General features: G+C 39.3%; 1 protein-coding gene across 6 annotated transcripts in view, besides 1 other annotated feature; it reads left to right on the plus strand.

The window, feature by feature from the left end:
- Positions 1-27,994, plus strand: part of LARS2 (leucyl-tRNA synthetase 2, mitochondrial) — a 160,832-nt gene that overhangs the window by 21,187 nt on the left and 111,651 nt on the right. For all 6 annotated transcript variants that reach the window (NM_015340.4, XM_017006042.2, NM_001368263.1 and 3 more), the window contains 2 exons: positions 7,720-7,811; positions 9,907-9,967. In NM_015340.4, the coding sequence (NP_056155.1) occupies positions 7,720-7,811; positions 9,907-9,967 (153 nt within the window). The remainder of the gene's footprint in view (positions 1-7,719; positions 7,812-9,906; positions 9,968-27,994) is intronic.
- Positions 5,041-5,241: a silencer, noted in NCBI's record as "peak4627 fragment used in MPRA reporter construct". NCBI's record gives its function as "represses an SCP1 promoter by STARR-seq MPRAs in K562 erythroleukemia cells {active_cell/tissue: K562}" and the evidence as "EXISTENCE:reporter gene assay evidence [ECO:0000049][PMID:32103011]".

The raw sequence follows: 27,994 nt of genomic DNA on the forward strand, positions 1-27,994 counted from the left end.
TGGGAAGAACAATTCTGACTTCAAGATGCAAAACGGCCTTCCCACAATCTGATTCTGTTATTCTCTCTAGGGCAAACATTTGTTTTTTTGTTAATTTTTGGTAAGAATCTGAAATATTAAGAAACTTTGAGATTTTTCTAACTTTATTTTCATGGACAGCTTAGATAACATGTAAGCTAAGAATATCTTTCCATGTTAATTCTATCTGAAAACAAAAATAGAAATGAATAAGTGTATTATGTAAATCTAGGCTGGTTTTTGTGACAGTCTCTGTATTGCCTTTATTTAAAAATATGGACGGCACCTAACAGAATGTTAATAGGCAGAAACATTGAATCGGTGCCATTTTGGCAGTTCTGACAAAGAAACCAAGTGGTAATTAAGTTTCCCCCCTTTCTTGTGGAACAGTTACGCAACAGTTACGTTATTCTGCCAGTAACACAGCCCAAGGAGAATTTAAAGCACAGCTGGAAGCTGCTCAGGTGTTGTCCTTGAAGTATTGCAGAACTTTCTAGTAATACTGCCCATATCCCCAGCATTGGATTCTTTTTTTTTTTTTTTTTGCTCTTGAAATTTAAAAAGAAAAAGAGAAAGAATTGCAGAACTTAGTAGCAAATACAGAAGAATGTTTGTCATCTATGGATCAAGCAATATTCAAGTGAAAATTGTAGCCTAAACAGTGTTTGTTTTAGTCATGATTCTTGTCTACCACGGACTAAAAACCCAGCTTAGACCAGCTTAAGCAAAAAGGGAGGCTTTGTTTTTACACATCCTGAAACTCACAGAATCAAAGGAAATGTAGGAGCTGGGCCCACTGGGTATTGGTACTAGGTCCTTGAAGTACATCAATTTCCCCAGTCTCTCTCCATTTCCTATTTCTGCTTCTCTCCACATGCCAGCTTTATTTTCTCAGACATTTCTACAAGCTAGGGAGCAGAGCCACCTGAAGCCCTTATGGCTTCTGACCAAGGAGAAAAGAGAGCCCTGTCCTCCTCCAGCGTTCCGCCTTACTCTGTACAAGCCTAGAGCTGTCTGGGGAAAGATTCAGGGACTTGCCTCTCTCTCTAGCCAGGGGGATGGGTTTTTAAGATTGGCAGTTCGTACTAACACTATATTAAGTTGGACACAGAACAGTTTCCTAGAAGGGGAAGATGCTGTTTGAGAGGATGAAATGCTTTGGGTCTGCCACATTTAGTAAGAGGAAAAGAGACCTCAAGTCTCAACTGGATTGGGATATGTCCAGTCAGTTTCTTAAAACTGCATAGAATAGATATACTCAGGGAATGTTAGAATTTTTAGAAAAGACATGTATGCACTGCGGGGATCTAACTCACAGACCCTGACCCAGCAACAAATGAATAACATACACTGACACAGATAGTATGCCTGTCAGTCCAGCTGAGCATCTGCGCCACTTACAGACTCCAAGGAGAGTGCTGTAAAGAGTTGCAGCCGAGGCCCTGACTCACTGGCCCTGCCGGCATTTATTCAGCACACATTCAATGACAAAGGCTTTGAGTAAACACCACTATAGGAAAATTGACCTGGTTCCCGACACCCCTAGTAGAGAGCAGTTATGCACCCGAGGTTGATCAAAGGTTGGTCTTAGGATCACATGAGTAAACAAGCTATTTAGATAAACTGCATTCCTTTGTACCTACTTTAAGCCATTTACTCAAGGTAAGGATTAGGCAGCTTTCAGCCATAACCCTATCCTGAGACTTTTGCAAAACCTTCCAGCCTTCCAAGAAGATTTGTGTCTATATCCTATAACTTCATCTTAAAGTTTTTCCCACCAGCCTGACTGAACTCCCACAATGCACACTTACATATTTTGTGCAGAGATCCCTGATATAATGTTAAATGAAAAAAGGTCATAAAATAATGTATATAATCATTTCTATTTTCTTTCTCTTTTTAAAATAAGCTTTTTAACTTTTTTAAAAAATTTATTTTAGGTTCAGGAGTACATGTGCAGGTTATATAGCTATACTCCTGCCAGAGTTTACCTAGATTATTTTGTGACCCAGATACTAAGCCTAGTACCCAATAGTTATTTTTTCTGCTCCTCTCCCTCCTCCCACCCACCACCCTCAGGTAGGCCCCAGTGTCTGTTGTTCCCCTTTGTGTCTGTGTGTTCTTATCATTTAGCTCCCACTTATAAGTGAGAACATGTGGTATTTGTTTTTTGGCCTGCATTAGTTTGCTGAGGATATTGGCCTCCAGCTCCATCCATGTTGCTGCAGAGGACATGATCTTGTTCTTTTTTTACGGCTGCATAGTATTCTATGCTGTAAACGTACCACATTTTCTTTATCCAGTCTACCATTGATGGTCATTTAGGTTGAGTCCACGTCTTTGCTATTGTGAATAGTGCTGCAGTGAACATACATGTGGATGTGTCTGTATGACAGAACAATTTATAATCCTTTGGGTATATACCCAGTAATGGGATTGCTGGGTCAAATGGTAATTCTGTTGTCAGCTTTTTGAAGAATCCCTACACTAGCTTCCACAATGGTTGAACCAATTTACGCTCCCACCAAGAGTGTGTAAACATTCCCTTTTCTCTGCAAAGGTTCTATTTCATGAAAACAAATAAGCAGGCTCCTATATATGTGTACATATGTTTGTATGTATGTATTTGAGTGGGGAGATAGATGTGGAAGGAAACAAAGGCTGGTGTTATTGGTTACATCATTGACGAGTAGTGACCAGGAGTTAAAAATAAACTTTGCCTTTATTTATCATTGTATTATGCCATTTCATTTGTTAAATTAAGCTTGTATTACGTTTGTAATTTGAAAAAACATCAACTTATGTAAAAAGAAAAGCAGCCTATTCTGATTGACCTCAGGATGGGTGTGGATGCAGGAATTGAAGATAGTAGCTTGGGATCATCTCAGCCTGGAAATCCAAGGTGTCCCAGATTCCCAAAACTGGGAAATGCAGCATAGGATGTGGCAAGCCAGCCTCCCCTGGGGCAACAGCAAGCTTGAGAGGTCCACAGGACTGCTTGTTCAGTAAGCACATATCCCTTACAGAAAGCAGTTTTCAGTGGGTCACATCCACCACCACCTTCAATATGGCAAAGTCTACTGTAGGGCAGAGTCCTTGCCTGGGGCAATTGGAGGCAGGCCCCATCCTTCCAGTGCACAGATGGCTGCCTTCTGCTGATGGACTGCTCCTGGTCCAATCAGCTGTGGCAAGAACAGCCGGGCTGCTTTTAATCGAAGCACCTGATGTGAATCATTAACTATTCAGGAAAGAAGCACTGCTGGGCCTCTTTTACTGAAAAGGGGGCCAAGTACTTGATTGGCCCTTTGAGCCTGTGTGGTCCGTTCGGTTTGGGTAAGAACTTCCAATGCCTAGCACCAACCTTCTGCAGAGGCTTGTTAGAAGTAACCCACCCTTAGGAACGTACATGTTTGTGTGAGGATCTGTGTGAGATTCAGGTATTAATATCTTCCGTCCTCTTGTCAGAAAGCAACTATGTTAAATGTGGCCAAAGAGATGGAGGCTGAAATTGTGGTAAGGGAATCAGTGATGTGCGATGCTGTGAGATGCTAAAGATCAAGAAAGCAGACAGCTGCAGCGGCCACAGCAGCAAGTGCTGCCATTTATTGGGTGCCTGTGCTGTGCCGGGCACCATGCTAGATGTGCCACAGACATCATGAACATGTCATGCTCAATAATTCAAGGTAGCTGCTTTCAGTTACCATTTATAGTTGAGACTCAGAATTAGTAAGTAATGTGCCTCAGGCTCCACTGATAGTAAACAGGCAGAGTTAGATTTAGGACCTTTGCCCTCAACAGGCTCCTGGAGAACAAGCCTTGGTTAGCATTTCCTGTGCACTAGCCAAAGGAGTAAGAGCAGCTCTATTTTAGAGAGATGGTCTCAGTTCTTTAGATGGAATTGTTTCATCGGACTACTAAAAATCAACTTAAAAAATATTAATGTGCATAGTGGAAGTATGCCTTTAAGGTAAGTGACTCCAACCACTGGAAGGGGTATGCCTGTTCTCTTACTGCTGCCTGCTAAGACAGGGGCTTAGGAGAGAACAGATCTGGCGACTGGGATTGCAAGATGCACCTAGGTTGGGACACTTTGAAGTGTAAGTGCTTATGGGACCTGAGGCATAGGTGGCCAGTGGGTAGTACAAGTGTGCTTGTGCTGGACATAAAGATGGAGGAAAACTCCAGGTGCTCATGTGCAGGTGGAAGTGTGGTTCGCTGCAGTCTTTCTGGGGATGCCATTTGGCTGTATATGTCAAACGTCTTAAAATTTTTCATACCCTTTTACCCTGTAGTTGCACTTCTAGAAATTTTTCTAAAGGAAATGTTAAGAGTATATACAAAGATTTATGCCCAAGAATGTTCATCCTGGCCTTTTTTATAATGCTGAAAAATGGAAATAACTTTTAGGAAAACAAATATAGCTGGTCATTCAAAGCAGTCACTAACAGGCTGCATTGACAGCAGGTACAGTGAAAAACCAGAGATAAAAAATACATATATAAATAATATATTCTCAATTTTTAAACATTAGATACAAATTTACCACATGTAACTGGTACGTATGGCTGTATGGTAGAATAACAGGTGAGTCTTATTTTCTTCTATTTTTCTCTACTTACCAAATTATGGTGAATATGTAATTATGGAAGAAAACAAGACCTATTTCTTTAGTTGAAAATGTCCCATTCTGATATGCGTGTGTGGTGAGGTGGTGCCAGTAAGTGCCTCTCAGTATTCGTCATTATTTTAAGGAAATGTGTGTGAACATAAGCCTAGCTTCTCTGCATGATCAAAAAGCAAAGTAAGGGGCTGGGGGCAGTGGCTCATGCCTGTAATCCTGGCACTTTGGGAGGGAGAAGGATAGCTGGCAGCCAGGAGTTCGAGATTACGGTGAACTGATCGTGGCGCCACTGCACTTCAGCCTCGGCAACCAAACAAGACCCTGTCTCTTAAAAAAAAAAAAGGCAGCAAAATAAAACTTACCCCAGGTTGACAGCCCATGAACTTGATAGGAAATAAGAGGGTCAACTGGAATGGGCTGTTTTCTATAACAGAAATATCAGAGTCTTCTTGGTCAGTCCTTCCCCACAGGCAGGCTTCAGAAAGAAGTGGCGTCTGTGGTTTTGTGGCTGGATTCAGTTTCAGAGAATGGTAGGGGACTGAATTTTGTAAGCAGTGTGTCTTTCCTGACAGGGGCAGGGAGCCTGGCTTCCTGAGACTGTCCCCTGATGCCACAGCAGATGTGTCAAACCATTTTTCCTGCTCATGGCATGTAGTTTGAGAGAGCTTGATAGTGAAGCTGCCAGCTCAGCTGTGACTGGCCACTCATTTGCAGACAAGAATGCCTTACTGGCCTGGGCTTGCTTAAGGTAATTGCTTCTAGACTCCTCACTCCTGCTGGGCCACAGTTGCTTGAACAGTCAAATAAGGGGTTGGGGGGTAGAGGATATATCTCAAAACCTTCTTTGTGCTTGAAGATTTGTGATTCCTTGTTCTTTGGAGAATGAAAATATCTTCTAGAAGGTGATTAGAGAGCAGTACTCTTTAGAAATAATAATACTAGTGGCCAACATTATATACAGCACTTTACTGTGTGGCAGGCACTATTCTCAGCACTTTTCTTAACTCACTTAATCTTCACAGTGATCCAATGAGGTAGTTATGCTATCATCCCCATTTTACAGACGATGAAACTGAGGAGAAAAGGAACCTACACATGGAACCTTTCTTATACCAAAAGCATAGCTAGTGGTTTGCAATTAATTTAAAAATATTGGCTATTTTAGGCCAGGCTCAGTGGCTCACTCCTGTAATCCCAGCACTTTGGGAGGCCGAGGCAGGCAGATCACTTGAGGCCAGGAGTTCAAGACCAGCCTGGCCAACATAGCAAAACCCCATCTCTACTAAAAATACAAAAATTAGCCGGGTGTGGGGGTATGTGCCTGTAATCCCAGCTACTGGGGAGGCTCAGGCAGGAGGATCACTTGAACCTGGGAGGTGGAGGTTACAGTGAGCCGAGATTGCACCATTGCACTCCAGCCTGGGCAACAGAGCAAGACTCCATCTCAAAAAAAAAAAAAATATATATATATATATAGAGAGAGAGAGAGAGGGAGAGAGAGAGAGAGAGAGAGAGAGAGAGAGGCTATTTTAGAAATTAGTGTAAATGATGTATAGGGCTTAGTCCAAAGCCTTACTTTTATCCAGTCTCAAAAGTTACTCTCTGGAATACCTTTTCTGCTGTGTTCCTGTGTATTTTTCTTAGTTTTCATCTATCTGGCTGTTTGGGTAGAGGTGGGGGTTTCCCTCCCTTACTGGTAGGGAAGAAAGGGATGAACTTCAGTACTTCAGTACTTCAGTAGTTGGGCATGGTGGTGCACGCCTGTAATCCCAGCTACTCGGGAGGCTGAGGCAGGAGAATTGCTTGAACCCAGGAGACACTCCAATCTGGGCAACAGAGTGAGACATTGTCTTGGAAAAAAAAAAAAAGAAAGGGATGAACTTCAGGAAGAAATGGGGAGTGGGCCTTTCAGGAGAGTATTGCCTCAATCAGGGGAGAGAGAGAGAGATAGAAGAAAGAAGTGTGAAACTCTTGATTCTGGAGCAACCTGGAGCAGGGTGCTGAATGATGTACATTTAAGAGGGACTGTGTGCCGGATTCAGGCAAGCCGTGAGAAAGGGACAGGTCCGGGCCACTGAGTAGGGTTGGGATGAACTTTCTTAGGTCTGGGTAGAGCTGGGACTGCCTAGAGCCACCAGTGTGGTCATTATGCATGTGTTCTGCAGCACTGTCCAGTGCGGCTTTCTGCCATGATTTGAATATCCAATATCTGCACTGTCTGGTTCAGTGTCCACCAGTCACGTGTGTCTGCTGCACACTTGAAGGGTGGCTAGTGAGACTGAAGAACTGCATTTTTTATTTTATTTACTTTTAATTAAGTTTAAATGTAATAGCTATGTGTGGCTACTGGCTACCATATTGGACAGCACAGCTCCATAAATGAAAAATACTGGCCGGGCACAGTGGCTCACGCCTGTAATCCCAGCACTTTAGGAGGCCGATGCGGGCGGATCACGAGGTCAGGAGATCGAGACCATCCTGGCTGACATGGTGAAACCCTGTCTCTACTAAAAATAAAAAAAATTAGCTGGGTGTGGTGGCGTGTGCCTGTAGTCCCAGCTACTCGGGAGGCTGATGCAGGAGAATCGCTTGAACCTGGGAGGTGGAGGTTGCAGTAAGCCGAGATCACGCCACTGCACTCCAGCCTGGGTGAAAGTGCAAGACTCTGTCTCAAAAAAAAAAAAACAAAAAAAAAAACTGACATGACATGAGCATTTGGAAAGCCTATACATTATGTGTGTGTGTGTGTATATATATATGTGAAACTGAAAGAAACTCTTTATAATTTCAGAAAAACAATTTGGGTTCAATATAGAGACTATAGAAAAGAAGAAAATAAAAAGTACTCATGAAAACACCTCCTCAGAGGTAACTTATTGGTGCTTTGGCATATAACCTTCTAAGTTGTGTTCTATGGTTACGTCATAGGTAGCCAGCTGGCTGTCAGATGCATAACCTGAAAACATCCAGCAAAAGATAAGGCATGTTAGCAGGAGAGAGTGCTGAGTTTGCCCCAGAAGACAATACCAATGGAGTTATTAATGATTTGCCATGGTTGATGTTCCTCTTCTGGGTCCTAGGTCATCAACCCCATGGGATGGGATGCTTTTGGATTGCCTGCTGAAAATGCCGCAGTCGAGAGGAATCTACATCCACAAAGTTGGACACAAAGGTAAGTGTTTACAGGCATATTCAAATACTTGCATACAAAAACCTTTAAAAAATTTTTTTAACCTGTGCTTAAAAAATAGAAAGCAAAGCAAACAAAACACTGCAGCGTACCAAGAGATAAATATGATTGTGTATATTGGTGTTTGTCTTTTAACATATTGTATTCTTATCTAAGAAATATTCAGAGAGGGTTTTGGATATTTGTTCATGTGTTCATTTTGATGCTTTGTTATTTACAGTTATTTTTCCTTCGAGTATTTACATTCGGTAGGAAAAAGAAGAGGGTTAGGAAAAAGAAGAGGGTCGCATTTGTTAAATTTCTATAATGCTTCTGGTCTTCTTGACCATAGTTTTACTATATCCGAATACTACATTATAATTTTCTCTGAAAATTCAGTTTATTTTTTGCCTTCACCATTCAGAAGCAAGAGGAACTTAGGCATTCCATGTAGAAATATATGGCCACTTTATTCTGGGTGTGGTTTTCTCCAAGGCGGAACACACTCGCAATCCCACCCAAGCCTCAGGCTTCTACTACACGTGGGCCAGCGGTGCTCATTCCTCTCCCTCCTGCTAAAGTCCTGAGGGCCTCACCCTAGAACTTGGCAGAATCCTCTGGGGCCACTGCATCAGCTCATTTCACAAAGGCCTGGGACGCTTCCCCATGCCACCCCTTAGAGAGACAGAAGGGCAGTTCCAGGGCCTGTGCCCAGTGTCTCTTACCTGTCTTTGTTCTAGCTTACCCAAGGATACATTGTAAAAGCATCTACTGTGCTTCTGTCCATACTATGGCATCCAGGTCTCTTTTTTCTTCCTAACCCCTAGCTTCTACTTTTCTAGTAATGTTTAATTCTAGATTAATTAATTTTATCACTAGATTTTATCTAGTGATAAAAAGAGGAGGAAATGATGATTCAAATAAAGTGGATCAAACATGGCTTATGTTTGATATAAGGTAGACCAGGAGTTGGCAAACTACGGCCTGTGGGCTAAATCTGGCCCTACCTGTTTCTGTAAATCAAGTTTTATTGGAACACAGTCAAATCCATTTGTTTACATATTGTCCGTGTCTGCTTCCGTGAGACAGTGGCAGAGCTGAGTAGTTGTAATAGAGACTGATTGGCTCACAAAGCTGAAAGCATTCATCATCTGGCCCTTTTAGGTTTGCCAGCCTCTCTACTGGTGAATAGCAGTTAAGATGATGGCCCCTGAGCCAGGCTACCTAGGTGCAAATCCTGCCTTCCCTTCTTGCCAGCAGATCACCTTGAGCAAATTACTTAACTTCTCTTTACTTATTTGTGCTTCAGTTTATTTATCTGTAAAAGAGGGATAGTCATAGTTCCTATCTCATGTGATTGGATAAAGACTAAGCACTTCTCTGCAAAGTGCTTAGCATAGGGTCTTGCATTAAATAAGCTGCCATTAGCTAATCAGAGATTATACAGAAGATTTTTTCATGGTTTTTCATATTTTTAGTCTGCTAGAATCTAAAAGAGGATGCAGTAGAAATGAATTAGTCCTTTTTCTTTAAAAAAATGAAAGAGAAAAAGGTTTATTTCTTTATTCCATGTTATATTATAAGTTGGTTTACCTGTTTATCTCCCTGTTTCTCAATGGTGGATAGTTTTAGGTTTTAGGATTTACATTTTCATTAACAAAGCAGTGTGTGGTTTCTTTTGGATTCCCACAATTTATATATTAAGGCTTTTGTTTTCAGCCACTTTTAAGCTTATAAATGCTTGGCTTAAATAATATGGCTTAAATGCTTGCAGAATATTGACGTCTGGACGGGCCAGCAGTGCACATCTCAAAGGGGTTGCCTATTTGAATGGCCAGGGGAAGGGGCAGTTCTCAAGGCCAAAGACCATTGTGGTTTCTAGTGGATTCTGTATATGTCCAAATAATGGGTGTCTTCTAATCTGTTGGTATTTTTTGCTGATTCTTAGTGGTTGATTTTTCTGCTAGGGCAAAGCAACACTTAAAACCCATTTGAATAATTTAGACTTTTTCAGTTTCCCTTTACATTCTCAAAGTGTAGTTGTGTATGGCTTTAATCCCCTCTCTAAAAACCAAACCTTTTTCCCATTGTTTCACAGTAATATTAAACACATGAGGAAACAGCTTGATCGTCTGGGCCTGTGTTTCAGCTGGGATAGGGTAAGTCAACTCTTTTTCCTGAAAGGTCGTCATTTTAAGGAAGGACTTGATGGCAGGGAGCACTCTTCTTCCTCTTTGAGTTGGGAGAAGGCAAGGGTGGGAGGCAGGAAGCAGGAGGGAAGGATTAGCACTCTTCAAAAAGTATCCTGAGTGGATAATTTGCTTGGAAACAAGTAATTTTCTGTGGGATTAAACTGAGAGTTAACTTCCTATTTAACTTTGGAGTTGGCTATGATTTCTGTGTGGCAAAAGCTTTGCACAAGGATTTCTCTAGTTCTCAGCAATAGTTTTAAAAGACTGTTGGAATCTATATTAAAGTGATTAAATATCAATCCATCTGGTCCTTGAAGTAATTAGACATTGATTGACCATTTATTTACCTTTTGTTTTAAGTTCAGAAGTGAGGCTCATAACAGCCCATAATTATTCTGTCACATATAATCTTTTGGTGTTAGACACTTTCAAACTGTACATTAAATCAGTGGAGAATCAGTGGAGAATTCCAGACCCACGAGGAGTTCATGGAAAGCCACCTGGCTGTTTGGAACACTCGTGTTGCAAACAAATTGTGAACTGGGCCCTTCAAAGCTGTGGCCCAAGGCCCACCCTTTAGACTTTGAAGAATAGTCTGTTAGGTAAGATGGACTGTTGCTTGTCTCCTCCACGAAGGGCCCCTTCCAATGCCACAGTCCCTCTTAACATCCCATTTACTCCACAAAACGATTGGGGTTTTCATTGCTGGGCCTGTCAAGTTTATATTGTTTTCTTTACTAGAAGCACTGGAACAAATGCAAATGAGGGCTCCTCATCCCTCCCCCCAACAATTTCTTAAATGATTGAAATTTGATGAGTACAGTGAAAAAGAACAAAAGTCAAACACATTTGAATAAGCCCTGAATTATTATTTCCTCACACCAGAGTCAAGTTGTCCTGAGGTGCCAATAGGGAATCGCTCATAGAGAATGAAATACGGTCACAGGCAGAGAGAACTGAGTATTGGCCAGAGCTCTTTCAGGATGAGAGTGTTGACTCCTTGAGGGCAAAAATGGACTTAATAACCCTTTAGAGTGATAACTAGCCTAGTCCTGCACAGGAATATCAACGATAAATGACTTAAAAGTTGTTAGATTGTTTTCCTAATCATCACAGAGGATTAGAACATACAGAAAAGTATAAAGAGCATAATGTGGCTAATTTAATATTTTGGTATGGTTCCTTGCAGTCTTTTATTTTGGAATTATAAACATTTATATAATTTACAAAGTTCAAATCAATATGCATATATTTTTTGTCTTGAATATTTTTATATCTCATTAACTATTTGAAAAAGTGACTTTTATAGCTGAGCAGTTTTTTGTTTTATGAATGTATTATAATGTATTTAAGCTATCTCTTATTATACATTTAGATAGATTCTAATGTTTCTCTATTATAAATGCAGATTCTCAATCCTTCTTGTTCAAATCCGAAGTCCAGAAAGCTCTGAAAACTGAAAGTTTTTTCATAATTTATTTCACTGTAAAACCTGAATTGAACTGATATTTATCTCACTAAAAATGAGTATTCATATATTTTACTGTAAGAATAGTAAAATTACCAAGTAATATCCCAGACCTAGTTAGATAAATGCACTATTTTCTTTTAATTTCAAAAAAATCTTAATTCTGAGGCACATTTGGCTGACAGCATTTCAGATAAGGGATTTTGAACCTCTAATTCAATGATGTAGATAAATATCACCACTTCTACTACCATTGTCTATTACTGAACACTTACCATGGGCCAGGTACAGAGTAGGTATGACCTTATTATCTCTTTGGATCCCTAGAGAGCTCTAAAAGGCAGGTACTTTTATTGACGTCATTTTATTGCTGGTCACCCAAGTGGCAAGGCTGGGCTGATCCATTGGTCAAGTTATGACTGCCGTGCTCCTCCCCCAAACTTAAGGCAGAAATCTCAGTGCAGATGATCCTGGACTTACAAGGGGGTTATCCTAAATTGAATAAGACTGTCCTAAATTGAAAATATTGTAGGCATATAATACATCTAACCATCATAGCTTCACCTAAACTACCTTAAATGTGCTCAGGACACTTACATTAACGTACAGTTGGGCAAAATCATCTGACAACACAGTCTCTTGCAGAGTATCGGTTGTTTACCCTCATGACTGTGTGGCTAACTGGGAGCCGAGGCTCAGTTTTGCTGCCCAGCATCTCAAGAGTATCATACTGCTTTCTACTGAATGCATATCTCTTTCACATCATTGTACCACTGTAAAGTCGAAAAATTGTTAAGGCAAGCCGTCATAAGTTGGGAACCATCTATACACATATTTTATTATTTCCTTAAAATGAATTCTCAAAAAATCAAGAACAAATTTTGGTATTTATTGCCAAATTACCCTCCATAAAGGCTATACAAATTTCCTTTCTCAAGTTATACAGTTATTTTCATTTGTATTTCCTTTATTATTAGTGATTGTGAGGTTTTTTCATGTGTTTAATGAATGTTTGAATTTGAACAGGGTATGTATGTGAATGGTCTAATCATGTGTTTTCCCATATAGATAGGAGGTGTTTGTCCTTTTTTTAATGGTTTTTGTTACAAATAATTTTCCTCAGTCTGTCATTTGCCTTGCATTTTGTTTATAGTTGAATATTATTAGCATACAGATATGTACTTAGACCTTTGAGATAGGATAAATAACATATTTTCTTCTTGATTCTTTGTGATTTAAGTTTTACACTTCACTGGAATTATTTTAGTATATGAGATAAGACAAGGAATTACTACTTTTTCTAAATCACCAGTTGATTAAAAAAAATTTTCAAACAATCCCTTCTCTTTGTTGATTTAAAAGGCAAACTTTATAATAGACCAAGTTATTTCGTCCTATCATTATACACCAAGTTCTGTTTGTGTTCATTTGATCCATTTATTATTTCATGACTAAACTATTTTTAATTACAATTGCTTTTAATACTTGGCAACAGAAGTTTTCTCTCATTGTCTGATATTAGCAATGCCATCTCCACCTTCTGTTGTTTATTAAAAAAATAAACTTTTAGCCTTTATTTGTTGACTTCTATTGGTACATCATTTATAGATACAATTAATTGAAAAAATTAAAAGGTGGGCAAATATATGGGGGAAACCTTTGGGGCAATTTGGAGTCTTTGTGTTTAATAGGAAAGTGAAAAGCTATTTGTATTTATTTGCATAACTCGTATTTATTTTCATAACTCGTACTTATTTTCTAATTAAACTTTTTAAAACATAGCTTTAGACTTCTATTTTTAATGATGTCTTGCCTTTGGATTCTGTTTTCTTTTATCTATAGAGACTTGAAAAGTATCAATTCCATTGTTCAATCTGCTAAAAGATAGCTTTAAGAGTGTTTTTTAAAAATAATTTGTATCAACATAAAAAATAGTGTATTTCTCTTGATCCTCATGTATGATAAGAAAAGTAGCAGGTAATTAACATTTCCCATTTTCTAAATCTATTTTCCAGGGGTTTTTTGTTGTTGGTTTTTATGGGGGTATATCCTGAGATGTTAGTCCTAATTTACTGTTTCATTGTTTTTGTTTTTGTTTTTTAGACAGGGTCTTACTCTGTCACCCAGGCTGGAGTGCAGTGGTGCGATCTCAGCTCATTGTAACCTCTGCCTCCCAGGTTCAAGCGATTCTTGTGCCTCGGCCTCCTCAGTAGCTGGGATTACAGGCACGCACCACTACACCCGGCTTCTTTTTGTATTGTTGAAGAGACGGGGTTCTGCCCATGTTGTCCAGACTGGTCTCAAATTCCTGGCCTCAAGTGATCCACTGTGCCTGGCCGGTTTACTGTTATATTGCAATTTTTCTAATCATGTATCATTTCTTAACCATTATATTTGATATTCACTTCCAGTTTTACAATCATATTCATAGCAATTATTTAAATTTTAATGCTCTTTAATTTCACAGCTTATAAGAAGACCTTTTAAAGGACAACCGTTCATTTAAAATTTTTTCATTTCTGAACATTTTTAAAACTTTGTTTTAACTCTTGGTTTGGTGTGATCTTCGCCCAGGTGTCACAGGTTACTTTCATAACTAAGAATGACAGCTGCTTTCACCTACAAACAGCAACTTACTGGGATATAGAATCTTTCATTCATTATCTTTTTTCTTTCTTATCTCTGTAGTAGACCTTGATCTATTGTCTTTTTTAAAAATACTTATAGGCTTGCAGGAAGTTGCCAGGATAGTACAGAGAGATCCTGTGTGGTCTTTACCCAGCTTTGCCCAATGATAACATTTTCATAATGTAATATAATATCAAACCAGGAAGCTGCCTTCGGTACAATACTATTATTAATAAGTAGAGTGCAAGTCTTATTCAGATTTCACCAGTTTTTAGATGTAATCATTTGTGTCTATTTGTGTGTGTATAGTAGTATAGGTTCTCCTTAACTTACAGTGAGGTTACATCACAATAAACGCATTGTTAAGTTGAAAATATCATAGAGTCGAAAATACATTTAATACACATAACCTAATGAACATAATACTTTAGCCTACCTTAAATAGGCTCAGAACACCTATATTGGCCTACAGTTGGGCAAAATCATCTAACACAAAACCTATTCTGTAATAATAGTGAATATTGAATGTTGAATATCTTATGTAATTTATTGGTGTTCTATTGAATGTGTATCACTTCCACACTATTGTAAAGTCAAAATATAGGTCTAACCATTGTACATCACGGACTATCAGTAGTAGTAGTAGTGTAGCAGCAGCATCAGTAGTAGTAGTTCTATATGATTTAATTACATGTGTAGATTTGTGTAACCACCACCACCTGATCCGTTGTATTTTGATGGAGAAGTCTGAGAGCAGCCAGAATTGTCTCTGTACATATAGTAATCCTTCCATCTGTATTTTGATGCTTGTTTTTTTATTCTTTTCTTCTTTGCCCTTGCCATTTTCCATTTTTCGTCAGAGTGTATCTCAGTGTCAATTTGTTTGCTTTAATTTTGCCTGGTGCTCAGTGACCACTTTTGATTAACAGTTGTAGGTCTTTCATTGTGACAGTTTCATAGGAGCCCTTTCTCAAGAACACTGTCCGTATACTCATTTCATTGTCTTCCATTGTCATCACCATCTCTCTCATGATTTTGGTCTCCTTTTTATTCTCTACCTTCTGGAAGAACTTTTTCATGTTTGCTTTTTATACCACTGATTCTATTTCTGTACAATCAATGTGGTCTTGTATGGTTTCTAGTACAGATATTAGTTTTGTATTTTTAGATTTATTATTATTTTTCCTTATCTCATTCAGTTCCCATTTTTTTTCTGAATCCTTTTGGCCAGATGCTCTATTTTCCTTCTTGTTTTTCTATCTTATTTATCTTCATAGATCTTATATGTTCAGAAATTTTTCTAAATACTAGGAGATGCCCTTGAAGATTTATTTTTGTTTCCTGTAATAAATGTTTTTTACAACTTTCGGATGCTGTGTTCTTGTCTGTTTTGGAATCTTTTCTTAGGCACCTGTAGATTCTCCCTCATTTCCTGATTGAGGGGGACTAGTGTATCAATTTGGAGCTTTATCAGCCAGAGGGAGTGGAGTAGAAGCTGCCCTGTAAGGCTGTTGTTCACTGAAACAAACTCAGAACGTGACCTCACACTCGTCCCTGCAAGCCATGTGGGCTAAGAGAGATTTAGAGTGTGGTTATCTGCAGAGCTGCGGAAGAGTTTGTTTGTGAATGGAAGTGGTCAGCAGCACAGCCACATCAGAGCCATGCTCTATCAGAATTTTTACTGGGACAGGCTTTTGGTGACTTCAGGCCCTTCCAAGTTTTGTCCATCAGTGCCTCATAGCCTGTATAAAGTAGGGTGAACATTGAGGTGTTCATGGTGTTCCCCACCATCAGCACATATATCTTTGCTTCTATTTGTCTTTCTCTCCATCATGTAATTTTCATCTGTAAAGAATCTGTTATTGCTGAATAGACAATATATAGCAGTATGTAGCTTTTAAGATGAAGTCTCTTGTCTGTCTTGCTTGCTTGCTTTCGTGTAATCACAATTCCATCATCACACCTAAAACGCTTGATGACAATGCCTTAGCATCACGGAATCTCAGTTTGCAAATTTCTCTGGTTTTCTTATAAGCCTTTTTTTTTTTCTTTTCTTTTCTTTTCTTTTTTTTTTTAATATTGTGGGTTTGATTGGCTGCACTTCTCTTAGCCTTCTCTTCCCACTGTCATGTTGTTACAGTAGTTTAGGAGCAGTGCTCTCTTTCCATCCAAAACATATAGACTCTGAATCATTTCTGCCTCAATTTATTTTAAAAGACAGCACGATTTGTATGATTACAAAGTGAAAATTAATATTACTTCAAAGCCCGTACTACCTTGACACCTTATTTTCATAGAGAACCGGACCTCTGATAGGAGGCTTGAACTAATAACGAAGCCTCCGGAATAATAGAAAGACATTATTGTTTTTTATCTTAAAAGAATTTAAAGAATAGCTTAAAACAAAAAGAACTTAAGGGCAAGAGAATGCATGAAAACTCAGTGGGGAAGATTCCCTTTGCAAGAGCTAGCAGTGGTTGCCTTGACAACATGTCACAGGCACCTGAAGTGTTTGACCCGCCCAGTCCTCTTTCAAGTGCTCACAGAGGTGGGGCACTTTGTCTAGCAGATCTCCGGCTCTGGATTACTTGTTCTCCCTCAGAGTCAGAAATTAACCTTTTCCTGAAGGTTTTTTCTTTAGTTAGGAGGGGAAAGGCAGTACCTTTGTTTTAGCTGAAATGATTTGGCAGCTTACTTATTTTTAGGATGGTTGGTGTTGACACATAAGGGGTAGTGTAGTCTGTCACCTTGAGGCCAGGGACCACATCTCATTAATAGACGGTACACTTGCAGTTGACCTCATGAGGAGCTGTGCCCACTCTGTGCTTGCCGGTCAAAAACATATGAGGTGTGTTTTTCATCGCTTCAGCCAGGACAGTATTCTCGCAGTCTTCAGCCTTAACTAAAGAGGGATGTCTCCTGGGGCTGCCCAGCAAATGTAGCTCTTCAAGGAAGTTATTTGTTTTGTCCGCAGTTCCAGCTGGTAGTCATGAGCCCAGTCAGGTCATCCCCATCAAGGATGTACACTCTGGCTAATAGAATAGAATTTCCTGATGTAATGCTTGTTGAGTGCTTTCAGGAGACAGGATCTTGGTTCGTCTTGGAGACCTCAGTTTTGGTGATGGATCTGGCTATTAACACTTGGTGGGCATGGTCTGTCGCCCCTCGGAGCCTCAGCTTCTTGCCAAGGGAATGCTTCTTGTCATAAGATTAGGTTACTCTTTAAATGCCTTAGAAAATAAGGGTACAAAATCTCTCTCTTCCTGACTGAATCAGGCCTCCAGATCAGTCTTCTACATCAGCCAGGTACAACATTTGATAGAATGGGAGACTACAGTTATACGGATACGATGGGCATCAGGAGTAGTATTTAAAAGGTCTTGAAGATGAGATTGTTATTCCATGAAAATAACAAGGATTATTTTTACATATACTTACAGCAGTGGTTCTCAAACTTTGGCAAGCATCAGAATCACCAAGAGGGCTTGTTAAAGCACAGATCTCTGGCCCCATCCTCAGTTTCTGAATGTGTAGGTCTGTGATTTTGTTTTTCTATTCAGAAAAAGGAATCTTAGGAATGATCATGCTTCCAAACCTTATTAGGTAGGAATCAAAATACAGGCCCATCATCAATTCTTTCTGACATAAGGTAGAACATGAATGAATAATAAAAACAACTTTTGGAAAAACTAGGTAATGTTTTGCAAATACAAGACTTACTTTTAATAACTTCCTTTTACTGTGAAATACTAGACATATATAGACTAGAGCATAAAACGTGTATGTATAACTTAATACATTATAGTAATGTATAGCTACTACCTAGATTGAGAAATAAAACATCTCCTGCACCCAGAGGCTTGGCTCAACATGTGTCCTCCTCCAGTCACAACTCTGTCTCTCCTCTCTATAGGTAACCACTGTTCTGACATTGATGATCATTACTGCCTTGTTTTCCTTTTTTTTCTTTTTTTTTTTTTGAGGCGGAGTTTTGCTCTTCTTGCTCAGGCTGGAGTACAATGGCACGATCTTGGCTCACTGCAACCTCTGCCTCCCTCATTGAAGCAATTCTCCTGCCTCAGCCTCCCAAGTAGCTGGGATTACAGGTGTGTACCACCACACCCAGCTAATTTTGTATTTTTAGTACAGATGGGGTTTCACCATGTTGGCCAGGCTGGTCTCAAACTCCTGACCTCAAGTGATCCACCCGCCTCGGCCTCCCAAATTGCTGGGATTACAGGCGTGAGCCACCACGCCTGGCCACTGCCTTGTTTTCAATGTACTTTTACCACTACATATGTGTTTGGGTTTTTTGGTTCTTTTTCTAGGATTTTTAAATTATGGTAATGTTCACATAACAAAAATGTACTATCTTAACCTGTTTTTTTTTTTTTTTTTTTTTTGAGATGGATTCTTGCTCTATCACCCAGGCTGGAGTGCAGTGGCGCGATCTTGGCTCACTGCAAGCTCCACCTCCTAGGCTCACGCCATTCTCCTGCCTCAGCCGCCCGAGTAGCTGGGACTACAGATGCCTGCCACCACACCCGGATAATTTTTTTTATATTTTTAGTAGAGACAGGGTTTCACCGTGTTAGCCAGGATGGTCTCAATCTCCTGACCTCGTGATCCACCCGCCTCAGCCTCCCAAAGTGCTGGGATTACAGGCGTGAGCCACCGCGCCCAGCCTATCTTAACCATTTTTAAGTGCCAGTTCATTGCTATTAAGTACATTCATATTGTGGTGCAACCATTATCACTCTTCATCTCCAGATGAACTCCTTACCTACATACAGTTTTTAAAGTTGTATCAATGGAATAACATAGTATGTGTTCTTTGGTGTCTAGCTTTAACTCAACACTTTTTCCCCTCTATTTTTTATTATAACAATACAAATTTTCAAACACTTAGAAAGGTTGAAAGAATAGTACAATAAACATTCATATACCTTTCACCTAGATTCAATAATTATTGCTGTATTCGCTTTATCTCTTTTTATTTATACATATTATATATATATATTTCTCCCCCTGAATTATTTGAGTATGTATTGCAGACATCATGGCTCTTGACCCCAAAGTACTTCAGCATTCCTATCTGAGTAAGTAGGAGGTTTTCTGACACAGCCATAATACCATTTTGAAAACTAAGAAAATTAACAGTAATTCCATAATGTTATTTATAATCCAGTTTATATGGGAATTTCCCACTTGCCCCAAGAATGTCTTTTATAGTTGTTTTTACTCTAGATAAGTCCCCTGCATTAGTTTTCTGCTGCTACCATAACAAATTATCACAAACTTAGCATCTTAAAACAACATCAGCATATTATCTGACAGTTTCTGTAGGTCAGAAGTTTGGGTGAGCTTGATAGGGTCCTCTGCGAGCGTCTTACAAGGCCAAAATCAAGGTGTTGGTAGAGCTGTGTTCCTTACTGGGTCCTCTGGGGAAAAATCCACTTCTGAGATCATTTAGGTTGTTGGTTGAATTCACTTCCTTGGCAACTGTAGGACAGGTCCCTGTTTCCATACTGGTCATCAGCCAGGGATTGGTCTTTGCTTCTAGAGGCTGCTTGCATTTCTTCTCAAGCCTTCCACATGGCCCCCTCCAGCAATGCATTCCCTCTCATGCTTCAGATCTCTCCCATTCCAGCCAGAGGAAGATTTCTGCTTTTGCATACCCATTTGATTACATTGGGCCACCTGGATAATTTAGGATACCCTTCTTATTTTAATTACATCTGCAAAATTCCTTTTGCCATTTAACTAACATATTCACAGGTTCAAGGGATTAGGGCATGGACATCTTTGAGGTGGTAATTCAGCCTACCACATCCTTCTGCTTTTTTTTTTTTTTTTTTTTTGAGATAGGGTTTTGCTCTGTCGCCCAGGCTGGAGTGCAGTGTTGCGATCTCAGCTAACTACAACTGCTGCTTCCTGGGCTTAAGTGATTCTCCCACCTCAGCCTCCCAAGTAGCTGGGACTACAGGCACCTGCCACCACACCCAGCTGATTTTTGTATTTTTTTTGGAGATGGGGTTTTGCCATGTTTTCCAGGCTGGTCTTGAACTAGTGAGGTCAAGTGATCCACCTGCCTCAGGCTCCCAAAGTGCTGGACTTACAGGCATGAGCCACCATGCCCAGCCTCTTTTTTTTTTTTTTTTTTTTTTTTTTGAGACAGAGTCTTGCTCTGTCGCCCAGGCTGGAGTGTAGTGGCGCGATCTCGGCTCCCTGCAAGCTTGGCCTCCTGGGACTACAGGTGCCTGCCACCACGCCTGGCCAATTTTTTTTGTATTTTTAGTAGAGATGGGGTTTCACTGTGTTAGCCAGGATGGTTTCAATCTCTGACTTTGTGATCCGCCCGCCTTGGCCTCCCAAAGTTCTAGGATTACAGGCGTGAGCCACCGCACCCGGCCATTTTTTTTTTTTTTTAATTTTTTTGAGACAGAGTCTGGCTCTGTCGCCCAGGCTGGAGTACTGTGGCGTGATCACGGCTCACTGCAAGCTCAGCCTCCCAGGTTCACGCCATTCTCCTGCCTCAGCCTCCTGAGTAGCTGGGACTACAGGCGCCTGCCACCATGCCCCGCTAAATTTTTTTGTATTTTTAGTAGAGACGGGGTTTCACCGTGTTAGCCAGGATGGTTTTGATCTCCTGACCTCGTGATCTGCCCGCCTCGGCCTCCCAAAGTGCTAGGATTATAGGCGTGAGCCACTGCGCCCGGCCAATCTTTTTTTTTTTTTTTTTTTGAGTCAGAGTCTCGCCCTGTGGCCCAGGCTGGAGTGCCGTGGCGCGATCTCAGCTCACTGCGAGCTTCGCCTCCCGAGTTCACGTCATTCTCCTGCCTCAGCCTCCCGAGTAGCTGGGACTACAGGCGCCCGCCACCACGCCGGACTAATTTTTTTGTATCTTTAGTAGAGACGGGGTTTCACCGTGTTAGCCAGGATGGTCTCGATCCCCTGACCTCATGATCCGCCCATCTCGGCCTCCCAAAGTGCTGGGATTATAGGCTTGAGCCACTGCGCCCGGCCCAATTTTTATTTTTTAATGGTTGTTATGGACTGAATGTATCCCTCTAAAATTCATATATTGAATCTCTAATCCCCAATGTGATGACACTAGGAAGTAAAGCCCTTGGGAGATAATTAGGTTTAGATGAGGACATGAGGATGGGATCCTCATGATGAAATTAGTACCCTTATATGAAGAGACCAGATAGCCCTCCCGCCGAGTCCGTATCTCTCCCTGCCATGTAAGGACACAGCAATATGACAGACAAGTCAAGAAGTCAAGACAGGCAAGTCAGGAAGAGGGTCCTCACCAAGAACCCAATCAGCCAGCCCCTTGGTCTTGGTTTCCCAACCTTCAGAACTGTGAAAAATAAATGTTTGTTGTTTAAGCTACCCAGTCTGTACTATTTTGTTATAGCAGCCCAAGCTGACTAAGATAAATCGCTTGTACCTCTACTTTTTGTTTTCTATATAATTTAAGAGACTAATACATTTAAAAAAATTATTAACCTAAAAGCTATTCTTGCAACTTTGGTTTGAAACTCCACTGTTTGTTGTCTACATAATTTAAGAGAAGAATACGTTATAAAAAACAACTATTACTTTATGTTTTTTGATACACAGTGTATAAAGATGTAATTATATGACATCAATAACTGAAAAGATTAGGGACGGAGCTGTATAGAGGCAGTTCATGTATGTTACTGAAGTTGAGCTGGTATAAATTCAAATGGGAATGTTATAACTTTTGGGTGTTAAATATAATCCCCATGGTAACCACAAAGAAAATAGTTATAGAATATACACAGAAGGAAATGAGAAGGGAATCACATTTTACTACCAAAAAAAAAAAATCAGTTAAATACAAAAGACAGTAATGCAGGAAATGAGGAACAAAAAAGCTACAAGGCATATGAAAAACAAATAGCAAAATGACAGAAGTCTCTCCCTATCAGTAATTACTTTAAAAATAAATGGCTCAAAATCTTCAGTCAAAAGACAGATATTGGAAAAATGTATTAAAAAGCATGATCCATCTATATGCTGTCTCCAACAGACTCATTTTAGATCCAAAGACACAAATAAGCTGAAAGTGAAAGGCTGAAAAAAGATATTTCATGCAAATAGTAATGAAAAGAGAGCAAGGGTGGCTGTAGTGATCAGACAAAATAGACTTTAAATGAGAAAAGATTACAAAAGACAAAGAAGAGCATTATAAATAAAAGGCTTAATACAATAAGGTATAACTATTATAAATGTTTATGTACCTAATAATAGTCCATCAAAATAACTGAATCAAAAATGGACAGAATTGAAGAGAGAAATAGACAGTTCCACAGTAATAGTTGGAGACTTTTGTACCCCACTCTCAATGGATAGAACAACCAGACAGAAAATAAGTAAGGAAATAGGGGACTTGAAAAATGTAATAAACAAACTAGGTCTAACAGACACACAGAACACTCTACATGACAACAGAGTACACATTTTTGGCAAGTGCACATGGGACATTCTCCAGGATAAACCATATATTAGGCCACAAATTAAGTCTAAATAGATTTTAAAAGATATATAAAGCATCTTCTCAGACCACAATGGTATGAAGTTAGAAATCAGTAACAGGAGGAAAATTGGAAAATTTGCATATTTGTGTAATTAAACAACACGCTCTTAAACAACAAATGGATTAAAAAATCACAAGGGAAATTAAAAAATACCTAGAGATGAATGAAAATGAAAACAACATACAGTCTTATGGAATATAGCAAAAAAGAGCAAAGTGGGAAATTTATAGCTATAAATGTTTACATTAAAAAACAAAGATGTCAAATAAACAACTTTACCACTTATGGAACTACAAAGAGAAGAACAAAGTAAATGCAAAGCCAGCAGAAGAAGGAAATAAATATTAGAGTAAAGATAAGCAAAATAGACAACAGAGAATAGAGAAAATTAATGAAACTGAAAGTTGATTCTTTGAAAAAATCAACAAAATCGACAGATTTAGGATTGCTGTGTCTTCCTGGTGATTTACCCTTATATAATTGTGTAATGTCTGTCACTAGTAATTTTCTTTGGTCTGAAGTCTATTTTATGATATTTTACTATGAAGCGTATATGAAATATATTTTACTTTGAAGTGTACATTAAGTGTACTTTATAATATGTTAATATAGCCACTTCTTTTAACTTACTTCATCTTACATTAATATAGCCACTTTTTCTTTTGATTAATTTTTGCATAGTATGTCTTTTGTCATCTTTTTACTTTCAACCCACTTATTATATTTGAAGTGGGTTTTTTGTAAATTGAAAACAGTTGGGTCATTTTTAAAATACATTCTTCCAATCTCTTTTAATTGGCATGTGTAGACCATTTACATGTAATATAATTATTGATCTATTAAGACTTAAGTCTAGCATTTATTTGTTTTCTGGTATCTCCTGTTTTTGTTTCTGTTTTCTTTTTCTACATTTCTATGAGTAAATTGAACCTTTTTTAGAATTCCATTTTGATTTATCTATAGTGTGTTTTAGTATCCCATTGGGTAGCTTTTTTATTAGTTGCTTAGGTGTTATGTTATAATGTAGCACAATCTACTGGTATGGTCATTTTACCAGTTTAAATAAAGTGTAGAGGCCTTACTTCCCTTTGCATGACTTTACTTACTCTTTCCCATTTGTAACAATTGTTTTAAATGTTTCCTCTATATACATTGAAATCCACATAGACAATGATAATTTTTGCTTCAACCATCAAATACAATTCAGAAAACTCAAGAGAAAGAAAGTCTATCGTATTTACCCCTATTTTTGCATCTCTCATTGCTCTTTTTTTATTAATGTTCTAAGATTCCTTCTTTTATTATTTTTCTTCTGCATAGAGAACTTTCTTTAGCCATTCCTTTAGAGTAGACCTGCTTAATGACAAATTCCCTTTGTTTTTCTTTATCTAAGAATGCTTGATTTCCCCTTCGTTTCTGAAGGATATTTTCAAGAGATATGGAATTTTGGGTTAACAGTTCTTTTCTTTTAGTACTTGAAAAATGTGCCACTTCTTTCAGGCCTCTGTGGTTTCTGATAAATCTGCTGTCTTTGAATTTTCTTCCTGTAGGTAATGCATTATTTCTCTCTGGCTGCTTTCAATATTTTTTTCTTTAATTTTCAGAAGTTTGATTATGATGTGTTTTGGAGTAGATTTCTTTGGGTTTATCTTGTTTGGTGTTCACTTAGCTTCTTGCATCTGTATGTTTCTGTTGTTGCCAAATTTGAGAGAATTTCAGCAATTAATTTTTGGAATAGTTTTTCAACTCTATTCTTTTTACCCTTGCCTTAGGAGACTCTGATGACATGCATGTCAGATCTTTTGTTATAGTTCCACATGTCCCTAAGCTCTATTCATTTTTTTTCCAGTCTGTTTTCTCTCTGTTGTTCATTCAGATTAGGCACATTCAGTTGTTTGGTCTTCAAGTTCACTGATTCCTTTGTCCCTTCCATTCTGCTGGTGAGCCCATCTACTGAGCTTTTATTTGTGTTACTTTATTTATCAGTTCTGAAATGTTCATTTGGTGGTTCTTTATAACTTTCTTTGCTGGGACTTTCTATTTTCTCATTTGATTCAGGTGTGTTCATAATTACTTGTTGAAGCATTTTTATGCTGTCTGCATAAAATCCTTGTCAGATAGTTTTGACATTTGGGTCATCATGGTGTTGGTGTATGTTGATAATCTTTTCGCATTCAGTTTGAAATCTTCCTGGTTTTAGGTATGGCTAATGATTTTCTATTGAAACCGAGATATTTGGGGATTCTTTTAAGACTGAATTTTACTTAAACCTTATATTTTAGCAGGCCTCCTCTGATATTGCTATGGCAGGTGAAAGGGGCCACTATCTCTTTACTTCCAGGTGGATATGGAGTCCGGGATCTCCACATGTTCATCACTTATACCTGAGGGGAGAGAGGGTCTCCTTGTTACTGCTGGAAGGATGGAAGTACAAGCTCCCCACTAGCCTTCCACCAGTATCACCCTGACTGTGAGTGGAAAAGCCACCTTGTTACTGTTCCTGTGGGTACAGCTGCCCAAGCTATAATTGTTCTATTTTTCTAGAAGAAAAATAACATTAATTTTATCTGCAGCATCCTTTGAAAATGTTAGGATCAACAGGACAGAATCATCTGAAAGATGCTTTTGTGATGTCAGTTCTCTAGGTTTCCTGAATAATATAAGGGCTGTTTGTTAGATACAGGCATGTATCCCCACAGGGACTCCGCTGACACCATGGAGAGCACTGAGCAGTGTGGAATTCCTGCCTCTCCATTCGACCTCCTCTGACACTGTTTTATCAAGGAGAGGGAGGTGTACCTCATTCCTGCTAGTTGGGGGTAGGAGTCCAGACTTGTCCTGTGGGCTGCACTGATACCACCAAGAGGGGGATGGATTGTTCACTAACGCCCAATAGGGCTAGAAGTCCCAGCTTTCTCCTCAGCTTCCTGTGACACCACCCTGGTAAGGAGGTTTCAATGCCTTATTATTGCCCCTCAAGGGTATAAGTCTAGGCTCTTCGCTAAGCCTTTGCTGGTGGGACTGCAGTTTTTTCTGTGGTATTGGCTGAAGTAGAATGGTTATTGTCTAAAAGTTTTCTATCTTGGCTAGGTTAACCTTTCCTGGTACTTTATCTAGATAGAGGAGTTCAGTCTTTCTTTTCTTCTTTTTTTATTTTTTCCTTCTCTTCCCTCCCTCCCTTCCTTCCTACCTTTTCTGTTTTCCTTTCTTTCTCTCCTCTCTCTTCTTTCTTTTTCTTTTCTCTGTACTCATTGGCATTTCTGGGTTACCAGTTTTGTTAGCTGCAATTCTGGGGCTTACCGGGCATTTAAAAAGTCAACAGGACTTACCATTGTCATTCCTTAGGTACTCATGTCCCTAACCTGACTTCTCTTCTTCACTGTTTAGAGTCTTATGTTTCATTCATATATATATTCCAGAGTTTTTAGTTGTATTTAGAGAGAATCAGGAAAAGTATATTTACTCCACCTTCCCAGAAGTAGAAGATCAGCATGTGTGGTTTCAAAAATCCCTCACCTCTGGTGAGATTCTGATCTGTGCTTTCCTAACCCTTCTCTTAAAAATCACTGGACTCTCAAAATGATTTTCTATGATTTTTCCAAGTTTAGAGTTTTATTTCTTGTCCGTGTCACGTATGAAATATTTCAGGTCATGGCATGTTTCTACTACTCATTGTTTATAGAATTTGCAGGCAGCAAAACGGCTCATTTTGGGCACTGCTGTCACTGTTTGCATCCGTGGAATTGATGATTGATATTTCCTCTTCCTCTGGATCCATGCCTGTGTCTAACAAATAGTCCTTATATTATTCAGGAAACCTAGAGAACTGGCATCACAAAAACATCTTCCAGATGATTCTGTCCTGTTGATCCTGAAATTTTAAAGGATGTTGTAGATTAAATTAATGTTCTTTCTTTCAAAAAAAAAAAAACAAAAACAGGGAACATTTGTAGTTTGGGCAGCTGAAATACTGGCATCTGCCCAACTAGACTAATAACAAATTGCAACTCAAACCAATTAATCTCATCTGTAGTTTAATGGAGGGTTTTCTCTTCCCAACTGTCTAGTTAGAAAAGCCGTTTGTGGCCGGGCGCGGTGGCTCACGCCTGTAATCCCAGCACTTTGGGAGGCCGAGGCGGGTGGATCATGAGGTCAGGAGATCGAGACCATCCTGGCTAACAAGGTGAAACCCCGTCTCTACTAAAAATACAAAAAATTAGCCGGGCGCGGTGGCGGGCGCCTGTAGTCCCAGCTACTCGGGAGGCTGAGGCAAGAGAATGGCGTGAACCCGGGAAGCGGAGCTTGCAGTGAGCCGAGATTGCGCCACTGCAGTCCGCAGTCCGGCCTGGGCGACAGAGCGAGACTCGTCTCAAAAAAAAAAAAAAAAAGAAAAGCCGTTTGTATTGTTAGAATGCCTTGATGAAATTCTTGCAAGCTGGCAAAGAGCAATTTCCAAGAAATTAAGAGAATTGTTGCTTCTTGTCTGATTATGGATTATTTATAGAATCTTGTGTAGTTTGTAACAGGGAACAGTTTTCAGGTTACCATAAAAATGATAGTGCTCAAAAAATATTGGCCAAGAAAATAGAAAACAAAGGGGAGCTTATTGATCAAGCTGTTTTCGGTTAAAAAAGACAGTGTGAGATGTCTTTAAAACTGCAAAGACCATGATTTCCTTGCCATCAATACTCACTCTCTAAGTTGGCTTCAAGAGCACTTAATTAGAACATGAACATGAACCTGTCAAATGATTTAAGAATTTAGCTTTTAGCCCTAGATTTGAAAAACAAGACCTTTAAGAATAAAATGCACGCCCTGTAAAAAGTGTCTAGCATTTGTCATTTCCAATTTTCATTAAATGCTCATTTTCAGCCTAAAGTTAGTCCTAAGATAAAGGAACATATTGCATAAAAATGAGTTCTTAGACAAATGTTAGGCTCAAGATTAATTAATTACCCTGATATTAACACCTGTTCCCTCAATTCTGCAAAAAAGAGAACAGGAAAGATAAAGGAGGTTAGAGACAGAACCTTGGCAAAGATGGAATTTGACAGATGGTTGAAGAAAAAGGAATTAGGAGAAGAGGCTGAGAGGAAGCAGTCAGTGAGGCTGAGGAAGCCTGGGCAGTGGGAGTCATGAGGAATCACAGTTCAGGAAGGAGGAAGACGTGGCTATGTGGTCTAGGAGAGAGCTGCTGGCTGGGACTATAGATGACAAGAAATCATTTGTAGTGGTACAAGTACTGGGTCACTTATGCTTGGATTCTAATTTTGCCTCCTAGTGGCTGTGTGACCTTAAACAAGTTACTTTGCATCTTAATTCTCTGAT

Source organism: Homo sapiens, chromosome 3 (genome assembly GCF_000001405.40).
Source record: "Homo sapiens chromosome 3, GRCh38.p14 Primary Assembly".
Classification (NCBI taxonomy): domain Eukaryota; kingdom Metazoa; phylum Chordata; class Mammalia; order Primates; family Hominidae; genus Homo; species Homo sapiens.